Source organism: Homo sapiens, chromosome 7 (assembly GCF_000001405.40).
Source record: "Homo sapiens chromosome 7, GRCh38.p14 Primary Assembly".
Lineage (NCBI taxonomy): Eukaryota > Metazoa > Chordata > Mammalia > Primates > Hominidae > Homo > Homo sapiens.
The window spans coordinates 152,269,537-152,295,782 of NC_000007.14; the positions used below are offsets into that span (position 1 = coordinate 152,269,537).

General features: G+C 35.4%; 1 protein-coding gene across 1 annotated transcript in view; it reads right to left on the reverse strand.

Moving 5' to 3' along the window:
- KMT2C (lysine methyltransferase 2C) overlaps positions 1–26,246 on the reverse strand; it is a 301,079-nt gene that overhangs the window by 134,612 nt on the left and 140,221 nt on the right. Inside the window, exon 7 of the mRNA NM_170606.3 lies at positions 4,169–4,331. Within this exon, the coding sequence (NP_733751.2) occupies positions 4,169–4,331 (163 nt within the window). The remainder of the gene's footprint in view (positions 1–4,168; positions 4,332–26,246) is intronic.

Consider the following 26,246-nt stretch of genomic DNA (forward strand, 5'->3'; position numbering starts at 1 on the left):
CAATAATCAACTAAGAAATTTTTCTTTAAACAGTTGAAAAAGCAAAGACAGGCTATAACTAAAGATAATTTAAAAGGGCAGAGGAGTAAATTCCAGGTCTATTTGGATTCTAAGATCAGGCTCTTGACTACTAATCAAATTGACTCCTCAGCAAACTTTACTACTGATCAATGAAAGTGATGAGTATTTGAGTATACACAAAAGTAGACATGAAATGCCAACAGTGGCATAAGATGAAGCTAAATGAAGTAAAGGGAGCAAGGTTCTTATGGCAGGAGAAAAGTGAGAGGAAACAAAATGATCATCTTTAGAGAAGGTCATTTCCTAAAAGACAGCCGTAAAAAGAGAAGAGATAAATAAAAAAGACAAAAACATTGAGCTTAAATTAGAACAGAGCTTATCACAGATCCTTAAACCTGATGAAACTATTACTTAAGAAAATCCAGACAACACATAAGAATAAAAGCATTGGTGAACAGCAACAAAAGTCAAAATAGCTGTCATACAGTGTGAATTTAAGAAGGACCAAATCAGCATTGCTTTCTAATTTCCATCACACCCTATCATCTGCCAATTTTCATCACTGGCAGGACACTGTGCTGAGTGATTTGTCTATAAAAGAGAATCTCTGGGAAGAAAAAATAAATCATGGATGTCATCCAAAGAGGCTAGACCGTATCATTGGCAGGTAGATAAGAAAGGTCAGAGGACTGACAGAATTTAGGGTAAAAGAAAAGCAACAGGACTTAATGTCAAGAAATACAAAGATAACCAAAGAAAAGAGGCTGGAGTTAAAGCTTAAGTGAAGTAAAAGGAATTAAAGCTAAATGATGAGTAAATACATTGAGGAACAGGGGGTGAATTAGGATATGTAGCATTTCCATGTTTAAACCTTGCAAAGACTTCTCATTGCAGACCGAATAGAACCCAAACTCCTTCCCTTGCTTACAAGGCCTACATGATCTAGCCTTTGTTCGCCTTGATGATGTCTCTACTACCCACCTAGTAGGCTACTATGCTCCAAGTAAAATGACATGCTGCCTGTTCATGAATCATGCCAAATCCATTCCTCAAGGTCTGTGTAGTGGTCTGTTCCCTCTCCCTGGAATGTTCTTTCCTCTTATCTTGCATGATTGGCTTTGTGCCATTCAGTTTTCCTATTCAGGAAGTATATCTGGTTGTATCTACTAGATGGATTTTTAGGGTAAAATTTCCAGACAAGGTTAATGTATCCTTGTATCATCATGAAAATAATGTTGCAACAATGACCAGCCATTTACCTATGACAGAGCACCCTAAAAGTGTTTCCTGAAGAAAATCTTGGCCTTCTTCACAGATACTCTCTTTAGTGAATTTCTTTATAATGAGATGCATGCTTTTGTTAAATTTCTCAACTTTTATAAAAAGATGTCAACCTTACTCCTAACTCAGTCAACTATCACAGCTACTGCTCTGCCCCTTAGGAAGCAACAGAAAATACATATACTCAATATGTATTATCATTCTCATAACTTAATCCTTAGATAGGAGGTAAAATAACTACCCTTTTTAAAGCAATTAATACATACAAGGCACAATGTTATGTGAATTCCATTCATTGTTTTCATTTAACCCTCATAATAACACTATGATTTAAGACAGTATCATTTTAAAAGCATAAAAATTAACTTCTGCCATGACACACAATTAGGATAGGAAAAAATATTTATAAAACATGTTAAAAAGGTGACAAAACATCCTATCTGCAATATTCTTTAAATTATATCCTTGGTACTTAATCCAAGATTATGATCGTCTTAACAGATGGGTCAGAACGCTGTGTAGTTAGAATGCACTGCTTAAGATCCCCAAGGAGGCCGGGCACGATGGCTCACACCTCTGTATCCCAGCACTTTGGGAGGCTGAGACGGGCAGATCACGAGGTCAGGAGTTCGAGACGAATCTAGCCAACACAGTGAAACCCTGTCTCTACTAAAAATACAAAAAATTAGCCGGGTGTGATGGTATGCGCCTGTAATCCCAGCTACTTGGGAGGCTGAGGCAGGAGAAATCGCATGAACCTGGAAGGCGGAGTTTGCAGTGAGCCAAGGCCATGCCACTGCATTCCAGCCAGAGTGACAGTGCGAGACTCCATCTCAAAAAAAAAAAAAAAAAAAAAACCCCAAAGAAATCTAATTTAGTCATTTAGGCCTTGATTTTACACCACCGACTTAGTTTGAAGGCTGCTATAAGAAACAGCCCTATGAAACTGATATTTTTCTACTGCAAGGTGGCTACTTTAAGATAATTTTTCATTGCATTGTATCAAGTGATGTCTTGTTATTATTATATCATTATATCAAGTGACGTCTTGTTATAAATAGTAAGAATCAGATTAAGGGCTCATATTTCCTTCTTTGTATTGACTGCTGAAAAGGTATGGGGCCAAATTTGTGGTTACGTCTGGAGTTATATATTTTTGGGGGGGGTCTCTCTATTACCTTCATATTTATCCTATCTAAATTTTCCATTGCCAAATTTCCTTACTTTAGTTTTATCCTATTGCTCATGTATTTTTATGAGTCTCCATAAGTCTATTTTGGAAAAAGGCAGAGTACTCATAATTTTAGTGTATCTTTTAGCTTTATGTTGCCATAAACCTTTCATTATATACATGATCAACAACAGCATATTATCTCACCTCAGTATTTATTATTTTACAAACTGATTTATGATTGCTAACATGTAACTGAAGGTATACACTGTTAGAACACAGTTTTCAGTAGAAAGTAGCACTGCCATTAAGTAATAAAATATTCTAACACTACAACAACATTCTTGTAAAAGTTTGCATGTTGTTTGCTGAGGTCTAAAGCATGATTAACTACAAAAGGCTGAATAAAATTCAGATTCCTATATACACACAAAATTGTTTTATTGAGATGACAAAGTATATTTATTATGCCACCCAGAATATAATCCACTCTGATAACTGCCAGTTTATGCACTTGCTGAAGTAACTCAGTACATAAATAGTAGCCGTAACAGTTGCAGTGCATGAAGTTCTTCTCTTCCAGATTGAAGAGTGTACAATCTAACGCATTTTAAAACTTTAAATCCCTTATTAGCCTAAATATAATTTAAAATTCTAGTTTGCCTTACCTATAATTTGTACACTAGGTTACTAATGGTGATATGATTACATATGTGGACACAAAATAATTTTAATGGAAAATGAAATTATGGTACTCAACAAAGAAAAGGGTAATGATCATGTAGACTAACTGTATTTGAGATTAGTTTAAGCCTGGGGTAGCTATACTTACGTTTCACAGACCTGGAGAAGATAGGAAAAAAGCTTTTATTAACATTGCTAAGGAACAGATAAAAGCTAACATTAGGTAACTAAGAGGTGACATAAAAAAGATTGAATAAAATATCATGGAGGTTTCATAATGAGATTGGAAATTCAATAGACTAGGAGAAAAAAGATCCCAAAACATATATGCTCATAGGGAAAACACATAGTAAGAAAAAGGAGAGATCTCTATTTAATGATACAATAGTAAAGAGTTATAATTTCCTGTATAATGTAAATTTCACGCATTTAAACATTTTCATTGAATTATAAAATACTATTTGGAAAAGAAAAACAGCACAACTGCAGATTACAGAAGACTAAGATAGATGAATCATGAAAAGGTACTAGCAGAGATTTCTATTATACCTATCAGGGAAACACAATTTCTAAGAATTTCAGAAGTCTTTGGTGTTCTTATTAACGTAAATCCTGAAATAACACCTGAGTGAACTGTCTTCTAATTCTTCAACTGGATGGCTTTTTAGTGTTGATTGACTTTTTAATAAATTATTTTATAGTATAAATCAGAAATACTGCATAGTCCCTATTTACATCTTTCTACAGTGGTTTTTAAAATGTTTTAAGAATAAAAACCATGCAAACTTTATTTGATTTTTCTGAGGAAATAACTTTTTGGATTTAATTTCAATGAAACCACTGATAACATTTCCCTCCCCAGCGATCCCTGGCAACGATCCCTCAGATTTTAAAGATTATGTATTATTACCTTTTAATACAAGTAGAATAACACTCAGGGAATTTACAACATTTGTTATTTTCAGTAAATACATTGGTTGAAGTTTAAAAGTCTATCCGTAGTAAACTTACATCTTTCAGGAGCTTGGTCAATGTGTTCTGGACAAAGCAGGAAGATGTGACTGAAATCCTGAAAGGTGCCGGCTCCTGCAGCACAAGGATAATGATACATCTGGGTACATTTCTCTTCACAGCATTTGATAGTGGCTCCAAGGTGCTTACAAAATGCACATCGCTGAAAGGGGTAAAGGAGAGAAATCTCTTTATAAAACCTTGAAAAGGAATATTCAAATATAAGCTGGGAAGGTATAAAAAACTCTCTGTATATCACAAGTAAAACAAATTGAACCTGCAAAATATTAAACAAAGGATTCGTTAAAAATAATAAAATCTACATTACTCAATTTAGCGCTTCGTGTGCTACCAACTCATCCTTCCATTCAAATTAGAAAGTTAGAATTTCATTCCTTATATTTTCAAAAATAAATTTTGAAGCATTTTTGAAACAAAACCTAAAGATTTTTTTTTAAAGCAAATAGTAATATGGTTAAAAGGGCAGGTTTCTATATTGAGGATTATTATAAAGTTTTTAAATCCCACCAAAACTAGTAATAGGAACATATATTTTATTTATGAGACATATTACTATTTTTTACCCTGCCTAAAAATAAATACAAAATAAACTCATCAATTGTAAGTTAACAGGGACACAAATGGTTAAAGACTCACAGAAAAAAACACAAAACTACATACTTCAATGTAGCAATCAACTTCAAATTTCTTAACAAAAGATGGAAATGTGGGCGAAAAAAAATTAGTCATCTGGTATCTTTCCCATTTCAACCTGCCTCCATTATCTTGCAAGTGGTAAAACGCACAGAAATAAGCCCCAAACAAGAGGGGCAGTCTAGGGCAAGTGAACACATAAGAAGTCAGAAGAAATTATGTAAAATGTTGCATTTACTTATTCAGTTTTCCCTTAGAATGATTCACAAACTCTTCCTCATTCTCCCAAGTCCACTTTGAGCATCATTTTCTTTGAAGAGAGTTTGATGGGCCCTGTACTATACAGTATGACATCTCTCTGTGGGAAATGACTATCTAACATAAATTTTTGTTTACACCATTACATGGTACTTACTTGCTTATGCCATTACATGATCAGTTTATCTTTTCCTCATCCTAGTCCAAGATCCTTCAATTGAGGCACCATACTATCTTTGTATCCAAAGCACCAAAAATGCTGCTTGAAACAGGCCCTAATAGAAAGGTGTTCCTATACATATACCAAAAAGACTTAACTTTTGGTGATCTTTTTTGTGAGTGTGGCTCATAAACAGCTTAGCTGAGATAACTGGAGCCTCATGTAACACAGACAGTTGGACCCTGCTAACATTACTGTGGATATCTTCACATGTTACTACACTGACTTTATATTCTGCTAATTAACCAGGGACTACAGTAGTTAAAATTATAATTGTTTTCAATGTTTTATGTGTAAATCTGTATATCACATACTATCAAACTCTTCCTCACTGTCATCAGTCTACTGCACTGAATCAACATAACAAAGCTAAGTGACTCCTGAGGGCTGAATCAGAAAGAAGAAAAGAAAGAGATACAAAAATTTGGCTGGGCCGGGTGGCTCACACCTGTAATCCCGGCACTTTGGAAGGCCAAGGCGGGTGGATCACGAGGTCAGGAGATCGAGACCATCCTGGCTAACACAGTGAAACTCCATCTCTACTAAAAATACAAAAAATTAGCCAGACGTGGTGGCGGGCGCCTGTAGTCCCAGCTACTTGGGAGGCTGAAGCAGGAGAAGCTTCTAAATAACTCATAAACAGTAATTACTGTTGTGACACTTTAATTTTATATAATATTATAAGTATACAGAATAACATTTCAGTGCTATTTTGGCACTCAAGGGTATTAATGCATTAGAAACACAGAAAATAAATATTTTTCTTCATTGATAAAGTGTAATAACCAGCTTTTACAAAACAGGTAATTTTTTATAACTCCCAAGGTATCTAAATATGTTTAGTGCATTAACAGAACCCAGAATTAACTACAAATACAACACCTCGGTAGTCTAAATGTCTGAATAGAAAGACCACGTAAATGTCGAAAGGAAAAGTACAATCAATCTGTTGAAAAATGTTTATAACAACTCATTAACATAACTAATTTCTGCTAAATTGTTAAAATCTAAAATCGCTTATTTTGATACCATATGGCAAGTTTTGCAGAAGCCTTTTACACTAAAAATAATCTTGGCAGATAAAATATAATGAGAGGTAAGTATATAATAACAGAAAGTAATTTAAATTGACCAGCTTCTCAATGTCTTTCTCATTTTAGAAACACCAATATGTTCTCTTAATCATATCTGCAATGAAAAATATTATATTAGCTAAACTACTATGAGAAGTACTGGAATATATCTAACATACTAATTTACAATATCATATAAAGATATCAGTGAATAAAAGAAGGAAAATAAAACACTACATTTAGGAGAACGCTTCAAACCCATCTGTTACAATTAAATAGCTAATGAAGAGCACTCGGCATTAAAAGAAAATGTTTACTATATATACACAGTCTGGAATGTATCTTCCTAAACCAAGTAAAAAGTACTTGTAAAATCGTAGACAATATCAAAGAATGGATTTCCACAGGGAACTTCTCAAATGTCAACACTCTTATACACTACACATAAAAGAAATCAAGCAAGTTAAAATATTAATAATACAATAAGTAATATATAATACATAAGTAACAATTACGAAGCTAATTAACATTTGGGGAGGAGGGATAAAGTAAACAGCTCTTGGCCGGGCATGGTGGCTCATGCTTTTAATCCCAGCACTTTGGGAGGCTGAGGCAGGTGGATCATTTGAGCTCAGGAGTTAGAAACCAGCCTGGGCAACATGGTGAAACTCCATCTCTACAAAAAATACAATAATTAGGTGGGCATGGTGGCATGCACCTATAGTCCCAGCTACTCACGAGCCTGGGGTGGGAAAACTGCTTGAGCCCAGGAGGTTGAGGCTGCAGTGAGCTGTGATCACGCTACTGCACTCTAGCCTGGGAAACAAAAGTGAGAACCAGTCTATAAAATTCAAAAAAAAAAAGGCCCTTAAATGGTGTATCAACTAAATGGTTTATTTGAATCAATAATGAAAATTCCTAGACAGCATTTTTTCTTTTTACTTTTATTCATCATTAAAAAGACAGGGAGTAAGAAAAGGAAAAAAGTAACATGTTATAATAATATTTTCCCATATTAATCCAAGAACACAATAACAACAACAACAAAAACTCAGTGAGAACTCGTATTACCAATTTTAAGAATGAGTCTGAGGAATTTTCAAGACTTTTATTTAATAGTTTGAAATAATCTGTCAAAATGTATCCATAAAACAAAACAGAATGAACAAAATTTGAGATTAAAGTTGTATCATAAAAAAATACCAAGAAGTTAAATATTCCACAGTTCATTTAATTAATTATCCAGTATTTATTCTGTACCAACTATAGCAATGGTTTTAGGCTACGTGCTCTAATAAATAAGTATTATAAGGCTCCCCATGCTCCAAATTTGTTTTTAATCTTCACCAGTCTTTTTTTAGTATTAGGCAACTAGGATTCTCCCAGGATGCAGTAATAAAGAACAAAGATGGAAAGTAAGAGAAAGAGGTAGAATGACATGAAAATCTGATCCAGAAGGTGCAATGTCTGTTTTATATGAGTACCAGAATGGGAGAAAATGGGAGGGATTATAATCACCAAAATTCTAAAGGAAAAGTTATGTAAATATCTAATAATAAAAGCTAACATTTAATTAAGCATAATCCTCATTCAACAGATGAGGAACCTAAAACCGAAAGAGTCATTATCACTGTTCCACTTATTTCTATATCCTTACAAAAATACCCACTCTTGATCTGTAACAATGTCTCCTTAAACTCCCTGAATGGCAGCTTCAGGTAAAAACTTCCCAGAAACTTTGAAATAACAAGGATAAAAGGAAAATTCTTGGAGCCACATAAAAAAGAAAACAGATCATTACAAAAAAAGAAGAATCGGGCATCAGTTCTCATTATCAATACTGAATTAAAAAGAAACCCAAAAAAAATCATTATTTTTCTAGGCCTATAAAAAATTATTTAAAACCAAAATTTTAATGTCTGTTAAGCTAACATTCAAGTCCATGGATAACAAATGTAAATAGGTTAAATTCTCTAGTAAAAGATAGCAACTTTCAAAACATGCAAAATATACTACATAACACATATACATATTTTACATATTACTACAGACTTCATTTATGTATGTGTGTGTGTGTACACATATATAATATGAAATAAATGAAATACTTTGGATATTTGTCCCCGCCAAAATTTCATGTTGAAATGTAATCCCCAATGTTGGAGGTGGGGCCTTATGGGAGGTGTTTGGGTCATGGGGGCAAATCCCTCATGGCTTGGTGCTGTCCTTGCGATAACGAGTGAGTTCTCACAAGATCTGGCTGTTCAAAAGTGTATGGCATCTCCACCCCTCTCCTTTGCTCCTGTTCTGGCTATGTGAGATGCCTGCTCCCCCTTCTCCTTCAACCATGATTTCAAACTTTTTTTTTTTAATTTATATTTATTTTTTTGAGACAGAGTTTCACTCTGTTGCCCAGGCTGGAGTGCAGTGGCCTGATCTCGGCTCACTGCAACCTCTGCCCCGCAGGTTCAAGCGATTCTCCTGCCTCAGTCTCCCAAGTAGCTGGGATTACAGGCACCTGCCACCGCGCCTGGCTAAATGATTTCAAACTTCTTGAAGCCCTCACCAGAAGCAGATGCCAGCACCACACTTCCTGTACTGTCTGCAGAATCGTGAGCCAATTAAACCTCTTTTTGTTATCAATTACCCAGCAACAGGTATTTCTTTACAGCAACACAGGAGCAGCTATATATATGCACAATGCACAGTGACATACACAATTCAAAAACAGACTTGAGGGGAAAAAACACAAACGCTAACCAAAAAATGCAGGTATAGCAATAATTGCAAAGAAATAGAATTTAAACTAAAAAGCAGTGAACAAGTCAAAGATAATATTTCATAATAACCTAAGTTTTATGTTACAGTGTAAATTCCAAAAGAAGCCATAGTCATTAAAGTTTATACACCTAATAAATATATGTCACATATAAAAAGTAAAGCTGAGTAGAAATAACATGCATAGATTAGACTTTAACATAGCTCTCAAATCAGGATATTAAGTAGATATGAAATAAATAATAACAATGATCGGGTTTGATTCAAACAGACACATAAAATACACACAGATCTCTGTATTCCAAAAATAGAGAAAACATTCTATTCAAATATACATAGAATTTTCAAAAAAAAATCCACATGTATGGTCGTAAAGAAATGTCCACATATTTTAAAAAGCAGGTATTTCCTAGGTTATATTCAGTAAAAGCAGATGTGTCCCTAGACCTAATACAATAAAAATTAGAAATTCACAATATAAGGATAAAGTCCCAAATCTATCCACTGGCAAAATTTAAAAGTCCTTTCTATATAACGGCAGAGTTTCAATCAAGAAGAAAAATCATGTATTATTTTTAAATGATTAAGAAACATCAAAAAAATCTCTGAGACGTGGCAAATGTGGTCTTCAGAGGAAAACATATAGCTTCAAACATGCAAAACTATAAGACTAAAGAATTAAAATAAATAATGCCCAATTCAAAAATTAAGCCAATAAGAATCAACATATAATCCATGAGATTCACAATCTAGGGAAGTAAACCCACCCTAATACTGTGTTTATTAAAATGCTGTTAATGAGATCCGAGGTTTAAACAACTGTTCACTTTAGAAAATGAAATAAAGCTGACTGAAATAAAACCTAATCTATGAAATTATTCTGTATATGAATTGACCTGAAGTAATGAACAGTTCATTGACTGACTCATAACTCTTGTTCTGGTCCAGGCTAATCATTCTAGTTGGCATACTATTAAACACACATTTCTGATTGAAACATCTGCTAAAAAAAATAACATCAAACGACATTACAAAATCAAAATGGAGACTGCTAAGAGTGGGATTTTTCTCCTGCCAGTACCTTTCCTTTCTGCCACATTCTCCTCCCTGCTGCCACAGTAATCTTTCTGAAGGAATACAAATATATTCTGAATCACACGCAAACCCCTCAATACAGAATGTGTGGTAGGCAGTATTCTAAAATGCCCGCATACCACCGACCCCACCAAATTTCCTACCCTAATACAGAGGCTGTAAATATGATGAAATATCATGGCAAGGATAATGCCATTAATATATTATATGGCAAAGGAATTCTGCAGATGTGATTAAAGCCACCAATCAACTGCCTTTGAATTAATCAAAAGGGAGATTTGCCTAATCTAATCAAATAACCTCTTTGAAAGCGGAGTTTTCTCCAGCTAGTAGCAAAAGGGAAATTCATAGCAAGGGAACATTTCAATACACTGTTGCTATCTTTGAAGATAAAAAGAGCCACGAGGAAAAACCAAAGAGTGGCCTCTAGGAACTGAGAGTGACCCAAGCCAATAGGCAGTAAGAAAATGGTGAGCTCAGCAGGGTGCGGTGGCTCATGCCTGTAATCCCAGCACTTTGGAAGGCCAAGGCAGGCGGATCACGAGGTCATGAGATCAAGACCATCCTGGCTAACACGGTAAAACCCCGTCTCTACTAAAAATAAAAATAAAAAAAAAAAATTAGCCGGCGTGGTGGCGCACGCCTGTAATCCCGGCCACCTGGGAGGCTGAGGCACGAGAATCACTTGAACCCGGGAGGCAGAGGTTGCAGTGAGCCGAGACTGCACCACTGCACTCCAGCCTGGGCGGCAGATCAAGAAAGAAAGAAAGAAAATGGCGAGCTCAGCCCTACAACTGCATAGAACTGAATTCCTCCCACACCTGAATGCACCTAGAAGAGGATTCACCCCCAGAGCTTCCACCCAGGTAACACCTTGATTTGAATCTTGTGAGACCTTAAACAGAGAGCACAGGTGAGCCTACCCTGAGTTCTGACCTAAGTAAATGGATGCTGTTTTAAGATATTAAGTTTATGGTAATTGCTTTATTGTAACAGATAACAAACAGAGCAGCATTTCAAGGCCCTCCATGCTTTGGTCTCTGCCAAATCACTATTACATTTTTAAGATTTTTTTTTAAACATTATACTTACATTACACAATGTCTTAACACTATGAAGTAAAAATGTAAATATTTTAAACTCTGGCTTGGAAATGAGGAGGCAGAATCTCAGATATTTTCCTAAAAAAATAGGAGAGGCAAGCTTTCTGAGTCCACAAAAGTGCCCTCTACCTATTGGGTCAAAGAAAAAGTAATCTCTCTATTTGTAACAACATACATAAATTATAAACCCTGAAGAAATAGGTCCCTAATAGCTATAATCTTTAACATAACCATAAATAAAAACATGAATAAATCTGACTACATAGAAATGTAAAAACTTCTATGTGGTGAGAACACACATTACAGAAAAAAAATCAAGTGACAAAAAATAACCTCCAATTTGAATTACAAATATCTAGTATCCTGGATATATACAAATAAAGCATGTAAGTTATAAAAATGAGTATAATTTTAAAATAGACAAGGATAGTTTATAGAATTTCATAATTTAAGGAAGACATAAGTTAGCCAATAAACTATGGGTAATATGCAAGAATCAGTAAGCATTATTATTTGCCAGCAGCTAAGCCAAGTACTTTATAAGAATTACTTTATTCCCATCTACGCCAGGCACAGTGGCTCACGCATGTAATCCCAACACTTTGGAAGGCAGAGGTAGGTGGATCACCTGAGGTCAGGAGTTTGAGACCATCCTGGCCAACATGGTGAGACCCCGTTTCTATTAAAAATACAAAAATTAGCTGGGCCTGGTGGCAGGCGCCTGTAATCCCAGCTACTTGGAAGGCTGAGGCAGGAGAATCAGTTGAACCCAGGAGGTAGAGGTTGCAGTGAGCCAAGATCGCGCCACTGCACTCCAGCCTGGGCAACAGAGTGAGACTCCATCTCAAAAACAAAAACAAAAAAAAAAAGAAATTACTTTATTCCCATCTAACCACCACCATTTCAGGTAGATATTACTATTTTTCATTTTACAAATGAAGCAGAGAGGTTAAATATCCTTGTTCAAGCCCAATGAGTCAGGAAATGAAAGGAACTGAACTCAAGGAGTTCATAATTAGTTATATACAAGTAATAAAGACAAATTCATCGACTATGGAAATGTACTAAGTACTTTGTCTTGTTTACGTAATGGTTTTTATTTAGGTTGTAAGAAAATAACATATGGACAGGCACGGTGGCTCGTGCATGTAATCCCAGCACTTTGGGAGGCCAAGGCAGGCGGATCACTTGAGACCAGGAGTTCGAGACCAACCTGGCCAACATGGTGAAACCCCATTTCTACCAAAAAAAAAATACAAAAATTAGCCAGGCGTGGTGGTGCACGCCTGTAATCCTAGCTACTCGAGAGACTGAGGCAGGAGAATCGCTTGAACCCAAGAGGTGGAGGCTGCAGTGAGCCAAGATTGCGCCACTGCACTCCAGCCTGGGTGACAGAGCTGGACCTTGTCTCAAAAAAAAAAAAAAGAAAGAAAGAAAAGAAAGTAGCCACTTTGGGGTTAGAATCCATAAAATACTCTCAGTGTCAACCAAAAGAAATGTACTGCAATGTTCATAGAACACAATTCATAATGACCTCAAATTGAAAGTCCTCAAAATGCCCAACGGTAAAATAAATAAATTATAGTACTCTTAACAACAGAATACTATACATCAATGAGAAAAATAAACGACTGGAAGGAACAATTTGGATTTATCTCACAAATATATACATGAAAGATGACAGAAAACAGTACTTAGTAGCCAATTATACAAAGTACAAAGCCAATTACACAAAGTACAAACATAGGCAAGACTCACCTATGTTGTTACTAGATGATAGTGCATGTCTTTGGGGAGTTAGGAATAGTAACCAACAGGAGGCTGAATGGAATTTCTGGGGCGCTATTATTTGTTTCCTGATGTGATTTTAGTATATACGTTCTAATATTTGGGGTATTCCTAGAAATGTGTACCTATTATTCACTTGCTATATATATAGCAAAGTGAATTTTATATATAATTCTTCAACATATTTTTAGAAAAATTAAGTTTTTTCTAGAAAATTAAGAGAATTTTAGATAAAAACTCAACTTTTAATGGAAAATATTTTCCTTTTTCTTTCTCACATGAAATTCTATATCAAGGTTAGTATCCTACCTGGTATCTCTCCAATAGTGGGTTAAGAGTTTGTTTTCTTCTCAAGTAACCTGTATTATATTAAGATGATATTAACTGAAATAATCAGATAGATGAATGCGCCATAAAGCTAATTCTAAGATATCTGTCCTTAGCCAAAAGCAGAAAAGGGATACACATAACTTCCACATAAAACATCCACCCCCATTTTTTTGGTTATTCTTAAAAGCTCATAATGTATACAATGATAAAATTTATTGTTTCAAATTAGGGTTTTTGAAATTGAAATATTAATTTAAACACGTTTGCTTAACACAACTTTAAAGTTAATAAGAAAACACTGCCTATTACAGAAGAGTTAAATACTTCAAAAAGTGGGAAAAAATTTAAAAGCTTTCATTTTAGTAGGAGTAAACACAGACACAGTAAGAATCAAGTTAGTTGGATACACTTAAATCATGTCTTTTAAGAACATGAGAACAGATTATTTGCTTTCTCTTTAGTCCAAAACCTGGGTGTAATTTTAGTCCAAATTTGAAACTAACAGAAGAATACTCAGCTTCTTAAAAGTTTTATTTCAAGAACAGTAAAAGAACTTCTGGTCTTACAAACATTACACAGATAAAACGAGTTTCTCCAAACAGATGTATGTAAAAATCTAGTACATATACCCCCAAGGTGAGTCAATAAGGTGAACCAGATTCTGGTTGAATGGAATCCTTGAAACATAACTTTGGTGAACAAACTGTTTGTGTTTTCCACTTTTCTTAAAAAAGAAGTGATAAAGCAGATTTCCAGTACCTGCCAACTGATAAAATGCTACTTACCAGGTAAAAACCACTACCAAAAATCAGAATCACAGAAGGGCTATCAGTAAAATTACTAATGCCACAAATTAACATGATGTTAACTGCTGAATTATGCATCAAAAGAGTATTTATATAATCACAGCAAATAACTCAAATCTTTTACATCACTAGTAAACTCAAAAAAAGATAGAAAAAAGCAATAACATTAAATTTCCTTATTGATCTACTAGCTTTAACTATTTAATACTAGTACACTTAGTTTTGATTACTTTGAAATTGAAACAAAAACAATAATCTTTTCTTCTTTTAATGACTTTTTCAGTTATAGGAAAGATGATATTAAAAGAAAATATACAACTATAGCTTAGCTACAGGTATAAAACTGTTTTAAAGATATGTAATTGTGCTATTGAATTAAACTGAAAACATAAATATCAACTCATGATTTTGAAAAAAAATCTTTATGTTTGGTTTTGGTAAAAGGAGAGACAAATAAGTCAGAAAAACAGAAAATACAGAAATAGACTCACTTTTCCATATTCAATTAATTTTTGACCAAGGGGCCAAGATAATCCAAGAGAGCAATAAATAGTCTTTTAGAATGATGCTGGAACTGCTAAATAATCCGTATGGAAAACAAAGAAACATGAATCTTATCTCAAATTCTTTTATCATATGTGTAATTTAACCATAAATGGATTTTTTAAACCTACAACTAACACTGGGGCAAGCAAAGATTTTTTAATAAAGCATAAACAGCATAATTTTTTCAACTTCCAAAAAATTAACAAATGACCAATGTCATCAAAATTAAACCCTCTGCTGTTCAATAAACATTGCTAAATAAATGAAAACAAGTCACACATTAGGCAAAAATATTTATAAAATGCATCTCCAAAACTGACTTCTGTGAATAATATATAAAAAAACTCTTACAACTCAAGAAGATGACAAGTAAATCAATTGGAAAAAAATGGTAGAGACAAAATAACAGACATGTCACCAAAGATACACAAATGGCAAAAAAAGACATAAAAAGAGGCTCAATCTAATTAATCATCAGGGAATGCAAAATCAAACCCACAATAAATTATCACTAAATGCCAACCAGATGGCTAAAATTTAGAAACAGTGGCAATATCCAGTGCTGGCAACAATGTACAGCAAATGGAACTCTCAGATCTCTAGAAACGGAGAAGTATACAGACACTTAAGAAACTGTGAAACTGTTTTCCAAAGTTAAGAATATATTTCCAACAAGTCAGAAATTCCAGTCCTAGGTATTTACCCAAGAAACATGAAAAGATACATCCACAACGAAGCATGTTACATAAATGCTCACAGCAGCTTTATATACTGGCCAAAAATTGAACGAAACTTAACTGTAAGCTAGTGAATGGACCAATCTCAAAACCATTATGCTAAGTAAAAAAAGGCAGACAGAAAAGATTCTATACTGTATGGTTCCATTCATATATTAGTCTAGAAAAGGCAAAACTATAGGAAAGCAACAGATCGGTGATTGGCAGGAGCTGGAGTGGGAGGTAGGCAGTAACTTCAAAAGGTCATGAGTGAATTTATGGGTAAAGGGTCTATTCTGTATCTTGACTATGATGGTAATTACATGACTGTTCATATTTACCAAATCACATTCAATACACACCTTAGAAAGGGTGAATTATAGCGTATGCAAAATATACCTTAACAAAACAATGGCTCTCACACATAAATTTATTTATTTATTGGGTAACAGCATAGGGACTAATATCAGAGTAACTTTCCTAAAATGTCTCAAATCTGAAGAAAACGTAAAAGCTAACTAATTGAAGTTACCTGTAAATAACCAAAAACTGGCTGGAATGGGAGGACATTATACCCTTGGAAAAAAAGCAGAATATCATTGGCTAAAATCTATATTTAAATAGAGTTTCAGTCTGGGCGCGATGGCTCCTGCCTGTAATCCCAGCACTCTGGAAGGCCAAGGAAGGTGGACCACCTAAGGCCAGGATTTTGAGAGCAGCCTAGCCAACATGGCGAAACCCCATCTCTACTAAAAATACAAAAATTAGCTGGGTGTGGTGGTGGGCACCTATAATCCCAGCTACTTGAGAGGCTGAGGCACAAGAATCGCTTGAACCTGGGAGGTGGAGGTGGCTGTAAGCCGAGATCGCGCCATTGCACTCCAGCCTGGGAGACAAAGACCCTGTCTCAAAAGAAAAGAAAAGAAAATTCTACAACTAATAAGTATGGTAATTTCAATGAAAATTTTAGTGGATGGGCTTAACAAGAGATTGGTAGAAAATTGGTCCATCTCCTTGAAAATACATGAATAGTGTATCTATTCTGAGGAACTAAAAGTAAAAACACTGGGAAGAAAACGAACAGACCCTCAGTAATCTACAAAATATCAAATATACTAACATTCATGTAATTAGAGTTACAGAGGAAGAGGAGAGAGAAATGAGACAGAAAAAGAATAAGAAATAAAAGTCAAGCTTTTCACAAATTTGGTGAAAAATATCAACTTACAGTTTCAAGAAGCTCAGCAACCCCCAAGCAGGATGAATACAAAGAAAACCACACCTAGGCACATCATAGTCAGACTGCTGAAAACCAAAGATAAAGAGAAAATCCTGAAAGCAGCCAGAGAATATCAAAACATTATTATATACATGGGAATAATGATACTACTGACACCACACCTGACTTCTCATTAGAAACCATGGAAGACAGGAAACAATGCAACATCTTTTAAATGCTTGAAGAAGAAAAACATAATCATCCCAGAACTCTGTATTCAGGGAAAAACAGCAAAAATGAATGCAGACTTCCACTTCCAGACAAAATGCAGAAAATGTACTTTTCCCTGTTCTTTCCACTAAATACAGCTTTAAAAACCCTTAGCCGTGATACATAAGACAAACAAAAGAAGACAACAAAATGTAGAGAGAGGGCAGACCAATTAGGGCTTCAGGAGCCAAGAAACAAAAGAGGATGAATTCCCTAGGTTTCCTTTCTGACTCATATATACAAGAAAAGTTGCTAGAGAAGCAGACAACTCAGAAACACCAACAGGCACACACATACGTAAAACTCCAAGAAAATTCTGCTGTCTTTTGTCAAAAAAGCAGGGAAGCGGCAGGCTACCAAGACAAAAAACTCATAGACAACAACAAACCAGTTTAAGCCAAATGGTACAAATAAAAGCCCAAGCCATATACCTTTTGCAAAGACTTAAAAGGAGGACATAGTCAGCCATTCCCCACTCCTGCCCACGGACAACATGATACCACAGCAGGCCAACTGGGACACAGGACATTCATACCCACTGAGCAGTAACGCGGCTTCCTCCCTCTAGAGTGTGGGTGGAAAAAAAGTGGGGAGCCTGAGTTCAACACCCACCCAGTGATAAGGACATATCCCTATCCCTCCCTCTACAGAGATATGACAGGAGAGGCCTATTGGAGAATCCAAACTCAAAGCACTGCCCAGTGATAACTTAACCACCCCTCCATCCCATTCAGTGGAGGCCAAGTGAAAAGCAGGAACCTTTTGAGCCAGGGTGGTATTCACAAAGGTGTAATGCAAGTCCAGAGTTTTCACTCCTACTCAGCATTTACTAGGTGTACGTCTCCATCAATGAGTCAACAAAGGCCTACTAAGGAACTGGAATCTTCACATACACCTGGGAGTAGTAACAAGGCTGTGCCCCACCTCCACCCCAAAAGCAAAGTTTCAGATAAATCCTACTAAAAGGGGGTATTTAAATAAAATGCAGAGCTTCATAACACAACACTTAAAATGCAAAGGATTCAACCAAATATAACATGTTATACCATACTAAGAACCAGGAAAATCTGAACAGGAATTTGAAAATATAGTCAAAAGGTGCAAACAATGAGAATTCATAGATGTCATAATTATCTATCAAAGATTTTAAACTATATAACACTGCTTCAACAAGCAATTACAGCCGGACACAGTGGCTCACGCCTGCAATCCCAGCACTTTGGGAGGCAGAGGTGGTTGGATCACTTGAGGTCAGGAGTTCGAGACCAGCCTGGCCAACATCATGAAACCCCATCTCTACTAAAAATACAAAAATTAGCCAGGCATGGTGGTGCACGCCTGTGATTCCAGCTACTCAGGAGGCTGAGGCATGAGAATCACTTAAACCCAGGAAGCAGAGGTTGCAGTGAGCTGAGATCATTTACTGCATTCCAACCTGGGCAACAGAGCAAGAGTCTGCCTCAAAAAAAAAAAAAAAAAAAAAAAGCAATTACAAACATACTTTTGAAACAAAGGAAACAATACAAAGTTTTGCAAAGAAATCAAGAAAGAAACAAATACCAAGTTGAAAACTAAAAAATATGCTAACAAAAATAAAATACAAACTAAGCTGAACAACAAAATGGGAGAGATTACCCAACCTAAACAAGAGAAGAAAATGAACTGATTTAAAAAAAAAAAAAAAAAAAAGTGGCCAGGTGCGGTCGCTCAGGCCTGTAATCCTAGCATTTTGGGAGGCCGAGATGGGTGGATCACCTGAGGTGAGGAGTTCAAGACCAGCCTGGCCAACATGGCAAAACCCTGTCTCTACTAAAAATACAAAAATTAGCTGGGCATGGTGGCACACACCTATAATTCCAGCGACTCAGGAGGCTGAGGCAGGAGAATCACTTAGACCCAGGGGCGGAGTTTGCAGTGAGCTGAGATCGTACCACTTCACTCCAGCCTGGGCAAAAGAGCAAAACTCTGACAATAAATAAATAAATAAATAAATATTTTTTTTTTAAAAAAGACATTAAAGACACTTGTGGGACTATAATAAGTGATGCAACATTCCTGTCACTGGAATCTCAGAAAAGGAACATGACGCAGCTGAACAATTATTCGAAGACCCACAGATTCAAGAAATTGAATAAATCCTAAGAGGATACACACAAATAAATCAATGCTAATATATATCATAAACTTCTGAAAACTAATGACTAAACTAAAAAACCCTGAGATAAATAAGAGAAATGACACCTTATCCACAGATGAAAAACAACTCAAATGACAGCAGATTTCTCACCTGAAACCATGGAGGCCAGAACAAAGCAGCATAACATTTTTGCAAGTCCTAAAAGAACTGACAACAAAGAATTCTATATCCAGCAAAAACATCCATTAGTAATGAAAGGGAAATCAAGAAATTGTGAGATGAATGAGAACTAAAAATTAGTCATGAGACAAAACTACACCAAAAGAATAGTGAGAAAAGTTATTGAACCAGAAAGGAGAATGATAAAAAGAAGGATTCTCAGAACATCCTGAAGGAAGAAAGAACAAACAAATAGTAAAAATATGGGCAATAAAACAGACTTTACTGTTCCTTGAGTTTTCAAAATAATGTTTAACAATTGAAGCAAAAATTGTTACACGATGCAAAAGCTATGGTGGGTAAAACTGTTGATGCATTTCCAAAACTGAAAGCAGTTGGCACCAAGCTGTATTAGAAGTTGTCACATTCTCAATTGGCACTACAACTACAGTAAAAATAATGTAGAGTATCATTGAGAATATCACTGATGAAGCAGCAAAAATCATTAATGTTTTAAGTCTTGATCCATGAATACACATCTTTTAATTATCTATGTGACAAAACGAGAAATAAAGAGTAAAATAATTGTTACACCATAGTTTTTCTTGAGGAAAGAATTTGTGATCATGTGATTTATAAACTGAAATAAATGCTTTTTTCATGGAACACCGGTTTTACATGTAAGAACAAATAACAAACCACAATTATTAAAACTTGATTATCTAACATATTTCTTGAAAAAAGGAATAAAGTGAGCCTGTCACTTCAAGGAAAACAACTTAGAACATGAGTGGACAATAAGAAGATTTGAAAAACTTATATCCAACAATGTAAGCTTAACTAATTCCAATACTTAAAGACTTTTCTGATGAGATCAGTGGATTATAACAAATGTGAATTTTGTTATTTATTAAAAATGTGTAGGACTAGGCAAGGTGGCTCACACTTGTAATCCCAGCACTTTGGGATCACTGGAGGCCAGGAGTTCAAGACCAGCCTAGCCAACATAGTGAAACCCCATCTCTACTAAAAATATGAAAATTAGCTGGGCCTGGCGGTGCATGCCTATAGTCCCAGCTACTCAGGAGGCTGAGGCATGAGCATCACTTGAACCCAGGAGACAGAAGTGAGCTGAGATCGCACCACTGCATTCCAGCCTGGGCAACAGAGTGAGATTCTGTCTCAAAACAAACAAAACAAAACAAACAAACAAACAAACAAAAACAACCGTATCAATAGTTGGAATATCTGGATCACTCAGTGAACCAATATTTTCCAAAGACCACTTAGTAATCTTATAAAATCATATATGGGTAAAAGATCCCCTGAAATTGCAAGGTAGTCTAATAAATTTTATATATATATGTGTGTGTGTGTGTGTGTGTGTGTGTGTGTGTATGTGTATATATATATATATATATATATATATATATATATATTTTTTTTTTTTTTTTTTTTTTTTTTTTTTGTCTGAGATGGAGTCTCACTCTGTCACCCACGCTGGAGTGCAGTGGCACAATCTCGGCTCACTGCAACCTCCACCACCTGGGTTTAAGCGATTCTCTGTCTCGGCCTCCCCCGTAGATGGGACTGCAGGTGCCTGCTACCATGCCCGGCTGATTTTTGTATTTTTAGTAGAGACGGGGTTTCACAATCTTGGCCATGCTGGTCTTGAGCTCCTGACCTCGTGATCCACCCGCTTCAGCCTCCCGAAGTGCTGGGATTACAGGCGTAAACCACTGCGCCCGGCCCATAAATTATAATTTTAAAGGGTAAAGATATAAAGTTCATTGATGGGATTGCAGTCTTCAGATTGCACCAAACCACTTGAAAAACTTGCGAAACTACCACTTCTCAAGCTTTGGTTTAGTATCAAACAAGAATATTCATTAGGGCTTGTGCTTTCATTCTTATAGTATCTTTTAATAAACAGAAGTTATTTCTCAAATGTAGTTGAATGCTCCAATATTTTCCTTTACATTCAGTGCTGTATCTCAAGAACTCTTTTACAAAAATATTATCCTATATTATCTTTTTAAATATAAATAAAAATAATTATCTTTTTAAAAGCTTATGAGTTCAGGTAGAAATATGAAGGGCTAAAAGGAATTGGAAGACATTTTCCTACTATTTGTTCTTTCTCTTGATTTTCATGATTCATTATTCTTGTAGAAGTGACCTTACCACAGTATAAGGTTCACTTATAATCACTGTTCTGCCTTGTAATTTTAGGTGAATTTGTTACAAAATATTATGAAATCTACAGGAAAAGCCAACTTTCAAAGCTATTAAGTATTTGACTTAATAGTTGAGGGCATTATTATTCAGAAAAATTTCAATCTCATTCCGCAGCGCAAAAAACTGCAATAAAACTTTACCACTGCCAAGTCACTAAATTGCTATGTAGAATGGCAATTCAGTATATTCTGCCTCTATATCTAACAAAAATTCATAGGATTTGATGATGAAGTCCACAAATGCAAGTCAAAATCACTGCTGACACTATTATATAATAGTTCACTAAAACATGACAGATTTAAATATTTTCTGCAAAGTACCTGCTAATAAATAATACAGTAAATAATCAGGCTTTAAACACCTGACATTTAACAAGCTTTGTAAATTTGTCCAACTCAAGTCTTTCTGCTCCACAGTTATTTTTGCCACTATCAACTGTAACGCATCTTAGCGGATTCCACTTCAGGTTGTACTAAGTTAGTGTTTGCTCAACTTTTCTGAAAATATTTTCTCTTGTAGTTGTTTCACATAGACTATGCATAAACACTAATTCTTCCATCACTTCAAACTCAGCACTAACTTCTGGAGTATGTAACAACTGAACAGTACTGGTAACACCTATTCATCCATCAAAAGCCTAAGAAAACCATGAAAAATCATTCACCCTTCTTTCCAAAATGACTTGATATTACTCCCAACGTCCTTAACTTTTAGAGCAATTACTCTCGCTGAAAGGCTAATAGTCTTTTTTAAAGTTTATTTTCTATGGACACATCTTTGTTTACCTTAATAAAACATAATTTAATTAACTACTGTTGGTAATGGTTTTCCTTGCTTGGCTAACAAATAAGCCATTGAAAAACTTACTTTAATTATAGCCTAATTTCCATTTTTTGTTTTTGAGAAGAAATTCTGCTGTGATAAAATTTTGTTTTAATTTACTATTTTTTTTTCTGACCTTTTAGTTTTATTCCTGTTGGCTGGGAATATTGTGAGAAGTGCCAAGTCTGGTAATGCTGACATATATTATATTCTTTTAGCACAGCCATAGTCTTCTAGCATAATAAATATAATGCTTTGCTATCTAATTTGTTAATAATAATATACATTCCACTATACCTCTAAAGTGTTACATATAAAGTCCACTTTTCTCCTTTTCTTGTTTTAACATGATAGGTGGGTATGCACTGGTAATGAGAGAAATAAATAAGATGCCAGGGCAATATGTGTGGCGCGCACACACACACACACATACTGACAAACTGTAACTATGTCATTGTGATTCGTAGCATGCAGAGCAGCAATTTGAAATATATGTGCTCTCTGCAGCAACCAACTCTGACACTGTAGTGCAACAGAAGTCATATATAATGCCCAAATAAATGGGTGTGGTTTTGTTCCCATAAAACATTAGTTTTAAACACTCATACCTGAATGTCGTTATGATTTCCTGTGTCATAAAATATTATTCCCTTTTAAATTTTTTTCAGACATTTTAAAAGGTAAAAAACATTTTTAGCTCATGTCCCACATAAACACAGCTGGAGGACCGAATGTGACCCCACAGGCTGTCATTTGCTGACACCTCCATCCACCCCTCTGTAGCCTTCAGGGTCCTAAATAAACTTCTATAGCATTTAATGACCCCTAAATTCCCTTTTTGTCTTCCCAGCTCTGCAGACTGCCAGAAGCTTCTCAGCTTTTCAACCTCTCAGCTGGATTTTTTTGAACTGAGTAATTAACTCAAGGGGAAAAGAAAATTTAAGGTCAGGCCAAACTCTGCACAACCTTACCCTCTGAATTCTCACTCCCTCAGGTCCTCACCACTCTTCTAGTTTTCTGATCCCTTAAATATTTATTTGAAACAACATTTTATACAGCTTTTCTAATTGTTCTCAGTGGAAAGGCTAGTCTAAACCAAGTATCTCTGCCATAGGAAGAGGTGGAAATAACACTTATACTACCGAATAGAAAGACTTAGTATAAAGCTACAGTAACAATGACATCATGATATATCACTGGGATTCTCAAATACACAAAGAATAAAACAGAGAACCTACCAACAATCTAAAATACATTGAACGTTTGCTATATAATAGGTTATATTTCAAATGTGGAGGAAAAAGATGTTTCAATAAATGGTGTAGTAACAATTGGCTGTCCATGTGTGAAAAAATGATACTGGACCCCTTATATCACATGATACACAAATCAATTTCAAATAGATAAAACACACAATAGTGCACAACTAGAGAAATAAGTTTTTGAAGTATATTTTCAAAACAAGTTAGAAACTGTTAAAAGGTTTTTAATTTTTGAAATAAAAACATTACCATGGTTCAAAAGTTCCTAAAGGGTATGCAGTATAAAATCACTTTGTATACAACTATATAAAATAAGTTTCCTACAGGCAAAGAATTTTACCAGTTTCCTATGCATCCTTCACAAGATATTTTATGCAGATGTAAGTTCATATTATTCTCCACCCCTCCCCTAAACTTTACATTCAAGGGGTCCTTTACAATACCAAAGAATACCACCCACCTCATCACAAAGGTAAGTTCATTTCTTTAAACTTATTTAATACTAAAAAGAAAGATTAAAATTAAATTGAGACATCTTCATTGAATGGGCCTACCAAAATTTAACTGTTTTTAAATAGGCATACAAAACTCTTAATTTTCTAAAACAAATTTTTCAGCTTCCTCTTAGCTCCAGAGTCAAGGTGTCAAGGTGACGGGAAATAAACATATTCATTCATTCCCTCATTCATTCATTTTTGAGACAAAGTCTGGCTCTGTTGCCCAGGCTGGAGTGCAGTGGTGCAATCTCAGCTGACTGCAACCTCTGCATCCTGGGCTCAAGCCATCCCTCCCACCTCAACCTCTTGAGTAGCTGAGACTACAGGTGTGCACCACCACACCTGCCTTTTTTTTTTTTTTTTTGGTACTTTTAGTGAAAAGACAGGGTCTTGTCACATTGCCCAGGCTGGTCTCGAACTTGTAGCTCAAGTTATGTGCCTGCCTCAGCCTCCCAAAGTGCTGGGATTACAGGTGTGAGCCACTATGCCCAGCCACATCAATTTTTAAGTAGATATATGCCTAACGGCATTCCAAGGTCAAATAAATATCTAGGATTATCTTGCTGTACCGACACCTTGCACTTAACATTGTGATGAAATAATCCATTGTTAATTTTTTGATGCCTTCCTTCTATCCCTGCATTTCAGAGTGAAAAGATAAAACAATTTCTTACTGTGTACATGATGATTGAGTACTGACAGGTAACATGACCTGGGGAAGAAGTCACTTGACATTAGCTAACAATGTCAGAGACAGATTAAGAAGTGAAGACTCCCGATTGCTTCCCATTAAAAATAATAATTATGACCAGGTATGGTGACATGTACCTGTAGTCCCAGCTATGTGGGAGGCTGAGCTGGAAACATTGCTAGAGTTCATAGTTGCAGTATACTATCATTACATGTGTGAATAGCCACTGCACTCCAGCATGAGCAACACAGCAAGATCCCTCTCTGCCGGACCCGCCACTCCCAAAATAGAAGACTCTATCTCTTAAAAAATAAATATTATTAGGTTTTATTTAGAAACTTTTATTTAGAAAATCTTATAATACAAAAACACACTTGAGAGGCATTTGAGATTATTGACCATACCTCCTTAAATCTATTAATCCAAACTACTATAATTTCTACTATACTTCCTGTAACTTATTCTGTGTTAACATCCACCTTTTCACTGGTTCTTCCTCAGAGCATTGACCAAAGGATCAATCTTCCATCTTCTTTTCTCTTCTTGTTCTCCAAAGTCAGTTTGATTTGCCACCACTGCTAGTTAGGAAAACTGTCTATGATTCCTACCCTGACATTTAGTGTCAAAGCCATTTCACACGGTTTCAGGCTCAGCACAACCAAACAAAACTTGTGATCTTCCAACATACTTAGACTTGAAAAAAAAGACATCTGCAGTTCCTCCATCTAATTTATAAAGAATCAAATACTATGCATTCTATTACAATATTTCATCTTTATGTTTTACACATAATACCTAAACTCAAGATTTTACACTCATTGGCCTTTAATTTATAGCAGTAATCCTAAATATGTTTGTCTTCAAGTAAACCTTTTCCAATTCAATTACAAAGGGCTGGGGGAATTTAGATCATTTAATACTGCTCTTCTTATTTAAAAGGTACATTACTGAAATTCCTCATCTTGGTATGCAAAGCCAAGGAAATTTTCCATTCCTGTCCCCTAGTATTCTCTACCCTACTTATTCTCCAGTCATTCTTACGTATGTGCCATTTTTCCAAAATCCATATACCCTCATAGTTTCAAACCCTGTAAAGGGTGACCCTCTGTCTAGAATCCCTATGTTAATCTACTGAAACTTACCCATCCTCCAAGCACCACCTTAAATCTTTCCTTCTTTAAAAATATTTTCAGATTCCCTCAGTTAAAACATATTTCCAATAATAGACACTGTTTATTGCCTATAAAATATCCATTCCCCCTTTTTCCTTCCTACAGATTTCCACTTTTTCAGATACGCACCCTGCTCTAAGCAGAAACATGCTTCAGAGGGGCTAAATACTCTCCCCAGCCTCAGAGGAAAGCCATCATGGCTGTCTCAACTTCTTTATCAGTTATTGGTTTAAGATATGAACGC